This window comes from Homo sapiens, chromosome 1, assembly GCF_000001405.40.
Source record: "Homo sapiens chromosome 1, GRCh38.p14 Primary Assembly".
NCBI lineage: Eukaryota > Metazoa > Chordata > Mammalia > Primates > Hominidae > Homo > Homo sapiens.
The window spans coordinates 155018527-155033800 of NC_000001.11; the positions used below are offsets into that span (position 1 = coordinate 155018527).

At 53.6% G+C, this 15274-nt stretch overlaps 1 protein-coding gene across 5 annotated transcripts; it reads right to left on the bottom strand.

Moving 5' to 3' along the window:
* Window positions 1-15255, bottom strand: DCST2 (DC-STAMP domain containing 2). 5 transcript variants are annotated; one of them, NM_144622.3, is made up of 15 exons: window positions 14908-15255; window positions 14568-14738; window positions 14141-14242; window positions 13048-13245; window positions 12643-12708; window positions 11906-12119; window positions 11558-11715; window positions 10707-10871; window positions 8022-8189; window positions 7776-7876; window positions 5946-6076; window positions 5306-5433; window positions 4838-4931; window positions 4591-4731; window positions 1-234 (listed from the first exon to the last, which is right to left on the bottom strand). In NM_144622.3, the coding sequence occupies exons 1-15, from the start codon at window positions 15173-15175 to the stop codon at window positions 18-20; spliced, it is 2322 nt and encodes a 773-aa protein (NP_653223.2). In that variant the 5' UTR covers window positions 15176-15255; the 3' UTR covers window positions 1-17. The 5 variants fall into 5 exon arrangements, with proteins under 5 accessions (NP_653223.2, XP_011507490.1, XP_047301532.1 ...); XM_047445571.1 differs by lacking the exons at window positions 1-234; window positions 4591-4731 and adding an exon at window positions 5027-5094 and having other exon boundaries at window positions 4842-4931; XM_011509188.3 differs by lacking the exons at window positions 14568-14738; window positions 14908-15255 and having other exon boundaries at window positions 13048-13241; window positions 14141-14228.

A 15274-nucleotide genomic window follows, 5' to 3' on the forward strand; every position in this document is an offset into this window, starting at 1 on the left:
TTGTGTCCACTTTTGGTTTATTTGGGGGGTGGGTGGGAAGGATCAGGAAGAGAGGGAGGTGAGAGAGGGACTGAGGGTTCTGAAGCTGGAGTGGGGGCTCCTTTAGTGGCGGAGGATGTCTCAGGTGGTCTGTGGGGCTCAGGGCTGGTGAGAATGCTGACAGGCTGATGGGCTTCAGGTAAGGGCTGCTGCCCGTGCTTCCTCTGCTGAGGCCCCTTCTCCTCATCCAGGTCACTAGTGAGGAGAGGAAGGGGGTGGCCGGATCACCCACCTTCTGTCTTCACAGGTGCATCCCTGCCCCCTGCCCTGCCCCATCTGTTCAGATCCAGCTCCTGTTCTTTCTGAGCAACTCCTGCTCTCTCAGGCCCACGAGGCGTACCAGCCCATGGCTGTAGATATTTTCTGATTTTAGGCTGATGCTGGGGGGTGGGCAGTGACTTGCCTGAGGCCACATGGCTAGGAAGGGCAGAATCACTAGTGACCTCAGTAGTCACACCTGCTCAAGGCTCAAGCTGTCCCCTCTGCTGACCCAGCTTATCCTTTCACTGGGCCCTCTAGAACCTCTGAAAAGAAAGCTTTGCTTCCCCTTCAACCTCTTGACTCATCATGACCTCTACCGCCCCATTCACACTGGAATGTGCCCACTGGACAGTTTTCTTTGCAGTCCTCCCAAGAGGAGGCAGCTTAACCTTCTCAAACCCAGCTGGCCCGTAGTGTTTTTTTGCAAAGCCCCTGGCTGCCATGATAGCTGTACCACCAGTGCTGTGGCTGTCTCCTCAGGCCTGCCAGACACCTGCCACATCTGTTTAAGATGCCGGCTCTGGACTCCTGCTGTTTGTATGGTCCTGCAACCTCGTCGCTAGAGGACCCACCCAATTCTCTGGCCTCTCAATCCCTAACCTCCTTGGTTCTATTGACCGTCATCTCTGTTCCCACTCAGACGTCTTCCTCAGCCTTGGCCTTTCACTGGATTCATTCCAGAGTTCTTCCCTGGCCATGGCCCCCTCTCTGAGTCCCTCCTGTTCAGCCAGCTCTCCCTCCTGGCCACTGCCCCTGCTCTAACACGTCATCAAGACAGAGACCCTGGGCTGCCCCCAGGGGCCTTAGCCCCTCCTCTTCCCCAGTCATCTCAGACACTCTTACCAAAGACACCTCAATTCTCACTCCATCTTGTCCTCCTGACCTGCCCAGAAAAAGCCCTCCACCTGTGAATCCTATTCATGGCTACCACATTTGCCAGAGAAAATCACATAACTGAGCGCACTGGAGCAATCATTACAAGTTACAGCTTCCAGCATCATCTGGGCCTTTGACGCTACCTGGAAATCCCTTAACCTCCCTAGTCGGCTTCTTTGCACACTTGCCACGGCAGGTCTTTCAACCTCTACCACCCACTCCTTGAAACCTTTATTCCACTCCCAGCTGCCTGCTCTGCTCTCTCAGCAGGTGCTCTTGCCTCCTACTCCCCAAAGAGAAGCGAGGCCACCAGGCTGGAGTGGGCTCAGCTGCTCAGGGGAACCTATACTCTCCCCCTCTGCCTCTGCCAGCCTGCTCCTTTCTCAGGCAGGCCACCTGGTCCACCTGGCCCTGGAGCCCAAACCTCCCTCCCCAACGTGCTTTTACACTGCCTAAATGCTCAAATCTTCCTGTTCTTAGATCTAGAAAACCCTTTTAGTGCTGAATCCCCTTCAAGCTACTTTCTTGCTCTGTGAAGCTAACTCTCTCTTTCTCTTCACCATCAAGCTTACATTTTTTTCAAACTACAGCACTCATTAGATTAAAAGCATTATCAAACTCCTGGCAACAGTGATGCAGGAGCCACATACCATATTTCTGAGTCCTTTTATTATTTATTTATTTTGAGACAGAGTCTTGCTCTGTCGCCCAGGCTGGAGTGCAGTGGCACGATCTCGGCTCACTGCAACTTCCGCCTCCCGCGTTCAAGTGATTCTTCTGCCTCAGCCTCCCAAGTAGCTGGGATTACAGGCGCCTGCCACCATGCCTAATTTTTTGTATTTTTAGTAGAGACAAGGTTTTACCATGTTGGCCAGGCTGGTTTCAAACTCCTGACCTCAAGTGATCTGCCCGCCTCAGCCTCCCAAAGTGCTAGGATTACAGGCGTGAGCCACCACACCCAGCCTTTCTGAGTCTTCTTTACCTGACACCCCTCAACCCATCATGACAGATCCAGTTTTGGTCTTCCCGATGCCATGAAAAATATTCCCACAAGCTACTCCAGTGATGTCTTAACTGCCTGTCACCTGTCTTCACATGATCCTACTTGATTTTTTTTTTTTTAATCTTCTAATTTTTTGAGACTGGGTCTTGTACTATTGCCCAGGCTGGAGTGCAGTGGTGCAATCTTGGCTCACCGCAGTCTCAGCCTCCCTGGCTCAAGTGATCCCTCCCACCTTAGCCTCCTGAAAGCTGGGACTAAAGATGCACGCCACCATGCCCAGCTAATTTTTGTATTATTACCTATTTATTTATTGAGACCAATCCTCCCTCTGTCACCCAGGCTAAAATGCGGTGGCACAATCTTAGCTCCCTGCAACCTCCACCTCCCAGGTTCAATCAATTCTCCTGCCTTAGCCTCCTGAGTAGCTGGGACTAACAGGTGCGTGCCACCACTCCTGGCTAATTTTTGTATTTTTAGTAGAGATGGGGTTTCACTATGTTAGCCAGGCTGGTCTCGAACTCCTGACCTTAAGTGGTCCTCCCGCCTCAGCCTCCCAAAGTGCTGGGATTACAGGCGTGAGCCACCATGCCCTGGCAAGTTTTTGTATTTTTAGTAGAGATGGAGTTTTGCCATGTTGCCCAGGCTGGTCTCGAACTCCTGGACTCAAGTGATCGGCCCACCTCGGCCTCCCAAATTGCTGAAATTACAGGTGTGAGCCACTGTGCCCATCCCCCTACTTGATTTCATATGTTTGGCTCTCCTGCTTTCTTGAGCCTCTCCCCTCCCTGTCCCCTCCCACTCTCCTGCCATGCCCTCTGCCAGGATGATCTAGCTCATCCTCTCTCTTACAGTCTCTAACTTAACCCCCCAAAAATATACCTCCAGCCCGGATCCCTGCCCTTTTCTAACTGCCCCCCTGGGCATCTCCAGCTGGATGCCCTACAGACACCTCAAAGATCTCAAACTGGGCCAGTCGTCTTTCCCCAGAACCTGTTTATCTTCCTGCCCTAACACCTGCCCAGGCCCAAGCATAGAAATCCCAGTCACGCTCAGCACTTCAGTACTGAGGCCATCACGAACTTCTCCTAGACTAAGACAAGCTTCTCTCTGACCTCCCTGCTCCTGCCCAACCTCCACTCTGCCTTCTTTGCTTATGGTCTTTTTTTTTTTTTTGGAGACTGAGTCTCACTCTATCATCCAGGCTGGGCTGGAGTGCAGTGGTGTGATCTTGGCTCACTGCAATCTCTGCCTCCTGGGTTCAAGCAATTCTCCTGCCTCAGCCTCCCGAGTAGCTGGGACTACAGGCATGCACCACCAAACCCGGCTAATTTTTGTATTTTTAGTAGAGATGGGGTTTCGCCATGTTGGCCAGGCTGGTCTCGAACTCCTGACCTCAGGTGATCCACCCACCTCGGCCTCCCAAAGTTCTAGGATTACAGGCATGAGCCACCGTGCCCGGCCCGCTTATGGTCTTAAAAGACAAATATGAGCATATCACTTTCCAACCTAAGCTTTTCAAATGACAAGTTAAGGTTCTTGCCCATCTCTTCCCACCTTGACTTCCAACCTCATCTCCCAGCATTCTCTGAGGTCTCTACCCAGCCACACCCATCCCTTGGGCTCTACCCTTCTGAATGCCTCACATTCTCCAAACCCACACAGGCCTCCCCTTGGAATGCTTTCCTCTACTTCTCAGCCTAACAAACCACCAAGTTGCCCCCAAAATCCAGCCCGTGGCCAGGCACCATGGCTCACACCTATAATCCCATAATCCCAGCACTTTGGAAGGCCAAGGCGAGAGGATGGTTTGAGCTCAGGAGTTTGAGACCAGCCTGGGCAACATAGTGAGACCCCCGTCTCTACAAAATAATAATAATAACAAAATAATAATAATAAGGCAGGTGTGATGGTGTTCCTGACATCCCAGCTACCCAGGAGACTGAGGTGGGAGGATCACTTGAGCCCAGGAGGTCGAGGTTGCAGTGAACTGGGATTGCACCACTGCATTCCAGCCTGGGTGACAGAGTGAGACCCTGTTTCAAACAAAACAAAACAAAACAAAAATCCAGCTCATGTATCACCTCTTCTATGAAGCCTTCATTAATATGCCCCTTTTCCCAAATTGGCTGTTGTGTCCTCTGTGCTGTCCAGAGTGTACTTCACTCCTTTATCAGGGTGCTGTCCACCCTGTTATCTATTCGATGTCACTCTCCCCAAGGGCATGGTGAGCTCCTCCTGGGCCACGGTGCTGACACAGAGCAGCCGCTTGGCAAACCTCAGTTACTTCCCCTCCCCTCATGTCTGTTTCAAGCCCTGGCAAAGGTCCAGACACCCAGGAAGGCCTTTGCAAATGGAACAGAACATGCTTAGGACTCACAATTCCCAGGTGCCAACTCCTGCTTCCTGCTCACCTGGACTCGGAAGTGGACTCCATTGAGAGGCTCCTGCCGAGCACTTCTTGGAGCTGTTGCTGCAATAACCATGCCTGCTCAGGGTCCTTCCTTTGAGCTGCAGCCAGCCATAGCTGAGGGCCCTCCTCATCGCTGGAGTCCCTGGAGAAGACTCTCATCTCAGTGGCCTGCAGACATCCTGGGAGAAGGGTGCCTACTTCCACTGCCCCTACAGACTCCAGCCACCCCATGTCACTGAAAGACTCACAGCTCCAGGTCCAGGTCCCCCTGGTAGGAGAGGGGAGATGCACACACGGAGCAGGTATTGTCCAGGAGGCGGAAGCAAGTGAGGCAGTAGAGACCTGGTGGAGGCCATGGGGAATGGAGGTGAACCCGAGTTCACCCACCCACCCTCTGTGCTTCCTGGTTGCCAGCCCCTGCCTCCCCTATCACAGACCTGGATGAACCATCCTTGTCAAGGGGTGCACACTAGGGAGCTGCTGCAATGCCACTTGCATATAAATCCTATTCATAAATACCCGGGAGAATAAAGGCAAGCATGGAGAAAATGAGCTACCTGAAGGCTCTGTGTAAATGAGAACGTGCATAGTAATGAAGGGAGGGGCACAAAAGATGAGGTACAAGAGAAGTCCATCAAGGAAGGACCACAGTGGATTGTCATATGCAAGTGGGGTAAGTCCGAGCAGGGAGAGGCACACGCCCCAGGGGGTCTCACCTTGGCAGCCGGGGGTACTGCAGGACACAGTGTTCTCCATGTCTCCCTCATCCTGGGGCTGCCCACAGCCCAGGCAGTAGGCCTGATGCAGCCAAAAGTGGCTGACAAATGGACCTAGGCAGGGGCACCTGAGAAAAGGGTCACAGACACTAAGCAGGCCAGCCCAGCCAGCTTAACCCTCCCCACTCCAGCACCAACCTCCAAATGGCAGGGAGGACTTCCTGACTTCCTGCAGTACATCCTCCATCCCTCTGATTTCAGCAGCAACCTCTCCATGGCCCTGCCTTCCTTCCTCCCTTCACTCCTCACCCCTAAGAATTCCCACCTTACGGGGAGAGGGATAGCATTAGGAGACATACCTAATGCTAAATGATGAGTTAATGGGTGCAGCACACCAGCATGGCACATGTATACATATGTAACTAACCTGCACATTGTGCACATGTACCCTAAAACTTAAAGTATAATAATAATAAATTAAAAAAAAGAATTCCCACCTTTCACAGCGTTAAGGGTATGCAATGGGCATTCTCTTCAACCAAATCTCTTGACACTTAGATAGCACAGAAATCCATTCCAACTCCTGGCTCTTTTTCTATCCCCTCTTGCCCCACCCCTATAGAAAAGACAGTGGCCTCACCGACTGGCCAGCACTAGGAAGGCACTTCTGTGGCCCTGGTCAGCCGCCCGCCGCCTCACTGATCGGTGCAGGGCAGCCAACAGATTGGTTCGGCGGCTCAGAAGTACATTGTACAGGTAGGAGATCCTCTCCTGGTGCGGGGAGATCAGGGATGGGGTCCCACTTGACCCTGTTTTGTCTGCCTGGAATGCCCTCTGCACCCACTACCTACCTTTTCCTTCTATCCAACTCCTATGAATCCCTCTAGGTTTGGCTCAAATGCCCCTTCCTCTGGGAAGTCTTCTGGACTTGCCCAGGTGGAGTTACCACTCTCTCCTCTGGGTTTCCATAACACTTTTATTCATTCCTAAATAAAAGTGCTTTTTAAATTACAACGTCTTGTTAAAAGCTTGTCTGGCCGGGCGTTGTGGCTCACGCCTGTAATCCCAGCACTTTGGGAGGCCGAGGCGGGTGGATCACCTGAGGTCGGGAGTTCAAGACCAGCCTGACCAACATGGAGAAACGCCATCTCTACTAAAAATACAAAATTAACTGGGGTGGTGGCGCATGCCTGAAATCCCAGCTACTCGGGAGGCTGAGGCAGGAGAATCGTTTGAACCCGGGAGGCGGAGGTTGTGGTGAGCCGAGATCGTGTCATTGCACTCTAGCCTGGGCAACAAGAGCAAAATTCTGTCTCAAAAAAAAAAAAAAAAAAGAAAAGAAAGCTTGTCTGGCCTGCCTCGAATCTGTGAGCTCCAGACTGTGTCTGGTTCATCTTGGCATCCTTGGAGACTGGCAAAGAGATAGGGGAATACAGTACATGCTCAGTAAATGATTAGTAAATGAGTAAACCGATGGTGAGGGTTTTTTGTTTGTTTTGTTTTGTTTTGTTTTTTTGAGATGGAGTCTTGCTCTATCGCCAGGCTGGAGTGCAGTTGCGCAATCTCGGCTCACTGCAACCTCCACCTTCCGGGTTCAAGCAATTCTCCTGCCTCAGCCTACCGAGTAGCTGGGACTACAGGCACGTGCCACCACGCCCGGCTAATTTTTGTATTTTTAGTAGAGATGGAGTTTCACCATGTTGGCCAGGATGGGCTCAATCTCTTGACCTTGTGATCTGCCCACCTCGGCCTCCTAAAGTGCTGGGATTACAGGCATGAGCCACCAAACCCAGCCCCGATGGTGAGTTTTTAATTACACCTCAACATGCCAACACTGCCCCCACCTCACCACCATGTTTTTTTGTTTTGTTTTGTTTTGTTTTTTTGAGACAGGGTCTCACTCCATTACCAGGCTGGAGTGCAGTGGTGCAATCATAGCTCACTACAGCCTTGAATTCCTCGGCTCAAGCGATCCTCCCTAGTAGCTGGGACTACAGGCACACACCACCATGCCTGGCGTTTTATTTTCTTTTTTTTTCTTTCTTTCTTTTTTTTTTAATAGAGACAGAGGCTCACTTTGTTGCAGAAAGGGTCTATAACTCCTTGCCTCAAGCAGTCTGCCTGCCTCACCCTTCCAAAGTGCTGGATTACAGGTGTGAGCCATGCTGCCTGCTCCACTCTCCAACTCTCCCCCGTCCCTCATCCCCCACCCCCTCAACACCCCTGTGATTTTAACAAAACTTTGGATGTAAATGCTGTCTCAGGAAGCCCCACCCCAGAGGCACCATTTCTCCCAGCCCCATCTTGGGTCCAGAGGCTTGCAGTCCAGGTCATTTGCTTTGGAGTTCAACCAGAGGAGAGCGGGCTGGGGCTGCTGAAGGAAGTCAGCTCCCAAAGCCAAAAAAGCCAGCCACTAGCTAAGCCCCCTGGGGAGGGGGCAGGGACTAGCTCCCAGCCCCGGACCCCTCACCTGCTCCCGGGATGGGTAGTAGGAGGCACAGATGACTCGCCGCAGCCGGCTGACATAGCTGCCAAACAGGGTGATGAAGAAGCATAGGCCATACATGACGCCTGGGAGCACAGCAGCCACAGTCAGCCTCACCAGCAGGCACAAGTGCCAGCCCACCCCTGGCGCCCCCCACATCCTCAGCAGTCTGCACCCCTCATTTCCCACATGGTGTCCACGCCCCCAGGGACCTCAGGGTGTAGTTGATACCAATGACTATGTAGCCAGTGCTGTCAGGCTCCGAGGGACGAAGGAGACAACGCCGGGACAAAATACTGATGTTGCCTTGCTGCAGGACATCAAATGCTGACACCAGGTCACGATAAATATTCCCAGCGTAGCCAGTACCTTCCACGGTTAGAGACACCAACACAGGACCTGGCACAAAGACACTGTGTGAGTGACACTCATGGCAGTTGCTATGCAGAAAACCCCACACCTTCTGGAATGAGGAAAGTGGAGCAGCGCAGGTCATAGGATGACTCAGACCCTTGGCTGGGGGCCTCTGATGCCTCAGGCACCCTCATGGTGCCCTGGGGCCTGACCTCAGTTCTGGCTCCTAGGACTGGCCCCATGGTCCAACTGGGTGGTACTGGTGTCTGGTCTTCCTATCCAAGCCACCATATCTAAGATGACCTTAATGGTCAGTGAGTCCACCCCCCGGCCTCCATGACCACCCAGAAGCATTTATTTTTTTTTTTAATTTATTTTTTGAGACAGGGTTTCACTTTGTCACCCAGGCTGGAGTGCAGTGGTGTGATCTTGGCTCACTGCAGCCTCAACTTCCCAGGTTTGAGTGATTCTCCTGCCTCAGCCTCCCAAGTTGCTGGGACTATAGGCACGTGCCACCACGACCGGCTATTTTTTTTTTTTTTTTTTTTTTGTAAAGAGATAGGGTTTCACCATGCTGGCCAGGCTGGTCTCAAACTCCTGAGCTCAAGCAATCCGCCTGCCTTAGCCTCCCAAAGTGCTAGGATTACAGGTGTGAGCCACCGAGTAAGACCCCCAGAAACATTTATTGGCTGAGCACTGACTGTGTAGCAGACACTTCGCCTGCCTTAGCCTCCCAAAGTGCTAGGATTACAGGTGTGAGCCACCGAGTAAGACCCCCAGAAACATTTATTGGCTGAGCACTGACTGTGTAGCAGACACTTAACCAAGTGCTTTATTGTTTGTTTTGGGGTTTTGGTTTTTGTTTTTTAGGAGTTTTTTACTTCTTTTTTTTTTTTTTTTTTTTTTTTGAGACAGGGTATCACTCTGTCACCCAGGCTGGAGTGCAGTGGTGTGATCTCGGCTCACTGCAGCCTCTGCCTCCTGGGTTCAAGTGATTCTTGAGCCTCAGCCTCCCAAGTAGCTGGGATTATAGGTGCCCACCACTATGCCTGGCTCATTTTTTTGTATTTTTAGTAGAGACAAGGTTTCACCATGTTGGCCATGCTGGTCTTGAACTCCTGACCTTAGGTGATCTGTCTGCCTCAGCCTCCCAAAGTGCTAGGATTACAGGCGTGAGCCACCGCACCTGGCTCACATTCTCAATTAATGGCTTACCAGGCACTCGACACACATAATTTATTTTATTTTATTTTATTTTATTATTATTATTTTAGACAGAGTTTCACTCTTGTTGCCCAGGCTGGAGTGCAGTGGCAGGATCTCGGCTCACTGCAACCTCTGCCTCCCAGGTTCAAGTGATTTTCCTGCCTCAGCCTCCCAAGTAGCTGGGATTACAGGCACCTGCCACGACGCCTGGCTAATTTTTTGTATTTTTAGTTGAGATGGGGTTTCATTATGTTGGCCAGCCTGGTCTCAAACTCCTGACTTCAGGTGATCTACCCGCCTCATCCTCCTAAAGTGCTAGGATTACAGGCATGAGCCACCCGCCTGGCCCCAACACACATAATCTAATTTATTCCTTACAGTGACCCAGAGAGGTTGCTACCATTATTATTCCACTATTCAGATGAGGAAACTGGGCCAGGACAGTGGCTCACGCCTGTAATACCAACACTTTGGAAGGCTGAGGTGGGTGGATCACCGGAGGTCAGGAGTTCGAGAGCAGCCTGAGCAATATGGTTAAACCCCGTCTCAACTAAAAATACAACTGGACATGGTGGCATGTGCCTGTAGTCCCAGCTACTTGGGAGGCTGAGACAGGAGAATTGCTTGAACCCGGGAGGCAGAGATTGTAGTGAGCCAAGATTGCACCACTGCACTCCAGCCTGGGTGACAGAGTGAGACTCCATCTCAAAAAAAAAGGCCAAGCATGGTGGCTCACACCTGTAATCCCAGCACTTTGGGAGGCCAAGGCCAGCAGATCATGAGGTCAAGAGATCAACACCATCCTGGCCAACACAGTGAAACCCCATCTCTACTAAAAATACAAAAATAAGCTGGGCATGGTGGCATGTGCCTGTAGTCCCAGCTACTCAGGAGGCTGAGGCAGGAGAATCACTTAAACCTGGGAGGCGGAGGCAGTGAGCCGAGATGGCGCCACTGCACTCCAGCCTGGTGACAGAACGAGACTCTGTCTCAAAAAAAAAAAAAAAAAAAGAGGAAACTGAAGCTGAAGAGGTTAAGCAACTTGCTGAAGGTCACCGCCTAATAAAGGACAGAGCTGGGATTTGAACCCTGGCCAGTGTGACTCTAGAGCTTGCATTTTTAACTACTCTGTAAGTTATAATCTTGACCTAGACATAGGTGTTACTAGGCAAAGCATAGAGTTGAAAGAGTGGCACACTTGTGGGCTGCTGAGTAACAGTGACATGGGGACATTCAGGCAGTCACCAGGACTGAGGATGGGAAGAGGAGAAGGCTTGGGAGCAGGCGGGGAGATCAGAAACAGGCCGAGGGGGCTGCAGTGGGTGAGTGGGAGGAGGCTGTCACGTAGGCACTCACTGCGGGCCACAATCTCCCCCTGCAGCTGGTGCCGGGCCAGGTCAAGCACCCAGAAGACAGCATAGTCTAGGAAGACTAGGAACAGCACGAGGAGGAGGTGTCGGATAAGGTTGAAGGTCTCCAGAATGTAAAAAAACTTCTCCCATTGGGACAAGAAGATGGAGCCTGAGCAGGAGTGGGATGGTCAGGAGGATGCTCCCCAGTTCTCCCGTCCACCAGATCCCAGTTCTTGGAGAGGCCTCCTGCCCCTAATCAGGTGTGGGCCCGTCTGCTCATCAGGAATACGGAAAAGAAAAGAAGCTGTGAGGACTCTGGCAAGGATGGAAAATACTCTTCAGGGGAGGGGGCTCCGTGGCTAGAAGGGAGGGGCCTGCCTAGCATCTCCACCTGGCCCTGTGGCCCATTCCAGTCTAAGGAGCCCTCCCTCCTAGGGCATCCCTCATCCCCTTACCTGCCTCCCCACCTCACAGGCAGTCCTCCCCCTCCATATTAGCACTTCCTGCCCACCCCGGGGAAGCCCTCCCAACTTGACTTCCCTCGCTCTGTGTCCATCCCCTGCTGTCCTGATGTCCAGGGTGCTCCCAGAAGCACCATCTGCCCCTCTTGTCTCTGGCTACTTTCTCCAAGGGTGTCTATGTTCCCCCTTTCAGACTGCGGGCTCCCCAAGGACCGGGCAGTGTCTTCCCTCAGCCTGAAAGTTCCTTAAGCTCTGGGTTGTGTCTCCTCCCTCTGGCCCCTGCCCCAAGCCCATCCTGAGCCCTGCCTGTGCAGGGGCTTAGGGGCAGGGCAGCGGGGTGGGGGGAAGCCCTGGCCTCCCTGGCTTGGGCTCTCCCTGTCCTCAGGGCCCTCACCCGGTGGGATGTAGCGCCTGGCCTCGTGAGCACTGAGCGGTAGCACTGTGGGCAGCCCTGCCGTGGAGCGCACAGCCTCCATGCGCAGGAATCGGCTAGTGATGTAGATATTGTCATAATGGTCCCAGTTCAGGTAACAATACCGGTAAAATAGGGCTCTGGGAAGGGGAGGTGGAGCACATGTGAGGCCCCTTAGGACCCCAGGCCAGACCCCACAGGGCATCCGCGCTTCAACCCCACAACTTCAACCTCCCTGGATGCTGGGGCAGGGAGAAATGAGCTGCTCCCTGCAGCCCTGGCCCTGCACCCCCGGCCCTGCATCCCCCACGCTGCCCGGCAGCCCCTCACTGGAGGTAGAGAAGCACAAGCAGCAGAGGCGTGGTGAAGCCCATCAGAGCCAGGGCCTCTCGGACACGGTGCAGCTTCATGCTGACAGCCTCGTGGAGGTCCATGGCTACCTGGGACAGGCTCCGAGAGGCATTGAGATCCACAGAGAAGTGGTGGGTGGCTGTCATGTTGAACTCAAACTCCTGACGCACCCGGTTGAGCAACTGAATCACGGCTGGGGCCAGCAGGTTCAGGGGAGACGTGGGCAAGGAGAGTTAGGAGAGGGTGGAGCTGCCCCTGGGGAGGGGCCTGGCACAGCCCAGGGGGCGCAGCTTACAGACCAGCTGGGAACCCCCCAGTGCTTGGGTCAAGGTGGACTGAGGAGGGGACAAAGCCTCCACGTATCTGTGCCATCGCCATCACATGCTCAGCACCCAGCATGACACAGGGCATGCAACAGATGCCCCTAAGGAATGATCTTGATGACCTGAGTGTGGACCTGAATGTGGACAGGAGGCCCTGGTTCTGTTCCCAGCTCCTGCTCTCAGGGCAGGCTGTGGTGAGGCACTGGCCCTTCGCTGGACCCGTTTCCTGATCTGTACAGCATGGATATGGGCCTGGGTGATCACTTGAGCCCCTTTCTTTCTCTTACATTCTCCTTTATGGGCTGGGAGCACTGGGGGCTGGCCATGGCCACACCGGGATGAGGGAGGGAGACCACTAGGGAGCACCATATGTGGCAGGAGGGGGTCACTCACGGGTGCCGATGGTCTGGCGCAAGAAGGGTTGAATGTACTTAGGGATGACGCAGAACACCTGGACCACTGAGGGGCGGAGTCGGCTGAGTGTCGGAAGGAGGGGCACAGCCAGGCCTGCCCCCGACCTCTGGAGACCTCTTCTCACAGGGCCTCTTTTCGATTTTCCTATTGGCCTCCACATTTGCTCAAAACCTTGTAGCACCTCCCTGTCGCCCTTCTCTCCCAACACCAGTCCCTCCCTACTGCCCACCCCCACCCCCAATACTGGTCCTACCAAGCTTATTGGTTCCTCTCTGTTGCCCTCTAATCGTCCTCCTGAGCCTGCCCTCCCAACTGACCCCCACATTCCCACCCCACCCCACCCCACATCGGCTCCTCCCCGCTGGCAGACCCTGGTTTTCTCACGGCTGGCAAGTCCACAGAGCGCCAGTTTGAAGGGCATGAGCACGTAACACAGGTGGTAGGCTTGTGGTATGACCATCATGCAGCTGTCCTTGGCATCATCGAAAACCCGTGCACACTTCAGGTAAGGGTTGCCCAGTTCCGAGTTGCACACATCGCCGATGTGCAGGAGCCACTGCCACACATTCCGGAGAGCCCTGGCTGGGGACAGCTGCAGGGTTGGCACCCAGGGCTGGAATCCTACAGCCTCTTCTCAGGGTTTTGGGGAACAATACCACAGTATCCAGGGCTGGAGAGGCCTGTGGTCAGGGACCTGGCTGTGCTGTGTCCAGTGAACACTAGCCAGCGCCCAGAAGGGGCCCAAAAAACCCTGGACAGGGTACAGGTGAGGAGACTGAATTTTTTTGTTTCTGTTTGTTTGTTTTGTTTTGTTTTGTTTTGAGATGGAGTTTCGCTCTTGTTGCCCAGGCTAGAGTGCAGTGGAGTGATCTCGGCTCATTGCAACCTCCGCCTCCTGGGTTCAAGAGATTCTCCTGCCTCAGCCTCCTGAGTAGCTGGGACTACAGCTGCGTGCCACCACGCCCGGCTAACTTTTTGTATTTTTAGTAGAGACGGGGTTTCACGATGTCAGCCAGGATGGTCTTGATCTCCTGACCTCCTGATCCACCGCCTCAGCCTCCCAAAGTGCTGGGATTACAGGTGTGAGCCACCGCACCTGGCCCCCCCGCTTTTTTTTTTCTTTAGAGATGGAGTCTCACACTGTCACCCAGGCTGGATTGGAGTACAGTGGCACGATCATAGCTCACTGCAGCCTCAAACCCCTGGGTTCAAGAGATCCTTCCACCATAGCCTCCCCAGTAGCTGGGACTACAGACATGTGTCATTACATCTGGCTAGTTTTATTTATTTTCTATTTTTTTATTTTTTATAGAGACAGGGTCTCGCCATGTTGCCAAGGCTGGTCTCAAACTCCTGGGCTCAAGTGATTCTCCCACCTCGGCCTCGCAAAGTGCTGGGATTACAGGCATGAGCCACCGCACCCGGCCAGGACTGGGTGCATTTTGAGTCCCCGGGATAGACATGCTAATGTGCTTACCTATGTGTTTCACACCATCCATGATTGACCGAAAGAACTTGCGGACCCGGTCAGCCACCTCTTTGGTCTTCCGGGCAATAGCTTTAATCTTGTTCAGGGCACCTGATGGGTGAGGGACAGAGGCACTTTGGAGTCTTCTCCTCTAGGGGCTGGTTCTCACCATTGCCCCTTAAGCAGGGAGTAGAGAGGAGGCCACCATTTCCAGAGGCGGGAAGCCTGGATTCTGGGGCCTGGGAGATCGTTAATCTGGGAGTGGAGGAGGCCAGAGAGCAAGGAGAGAGGGTTTAGCTGTGCCCAGAGTCCCTTCCAGGCCCAGATGCTCCGCGATTAGCACCAGCAGAGAAGGAGGCCAAAGGACTGTAGAACATGCAGGATGAGGGGGGCGAGGGGGGCCCGTGGGAGACAGTGGTAGAGGTGGGGGACTTACTGACAAGAGGTTGCTTGGCCCTCTGTAGCACTTCGGCGGTCTGGTTCAGGGCCAGCTCTGCCCCACAGGCTACAGCCTCGCTGGCCCGGGTGAAGTTGCGTAGAGTGTTGGCACAAGGCCCTTGAAGCACCAACCCAAAAGCAGCCACCAACAGTAGTGTCCGGCCCTGCCCTGGGGGCGACAGCTTTGTTAGAACCAAGACCCCAGCCCCAAACATGGCAGCAAGTCCCTTACATAAGCCTTCAGAATATTTCCCTTAACCCCTGCCTCTCCTCCAGCATCTCTTCTGCCCCAGCACCAGCCCCAGGACCTGCCCCCTAGCCCTGGGTGCCAAGCTCACTGGAGAAGGCCTGAGGCAGCAGCAGGAGGACAGTGGCTCGGACCTGGCGAGAGAATCCCATGCCCAGGCTAAGGAAGGCAGCCAAAGTGAGGGTGCCCACCAGGCAACCCCAGGGGCTGTGGCCTTCCACCAGTAGCTCCAGAAGCCCGTAGGCCGTGGCTAAAGACAAGCCCAGGGTAAAACCTCCCACGCTGCGAACCACAGCTCTCGCCATGCTAGGCTCCTCTCCCCCCAAGGGGTGCACAACATCCTTCATGACTTTGGGCATGGCTGCTGAGACCAAATGTCTGCCTGTCTCCAGGAGATGCCCGCTGACTTCTGTGCTCCTGGAATTTCTCACCGTATTCTAAGGTTCCAAAGGGCTTTC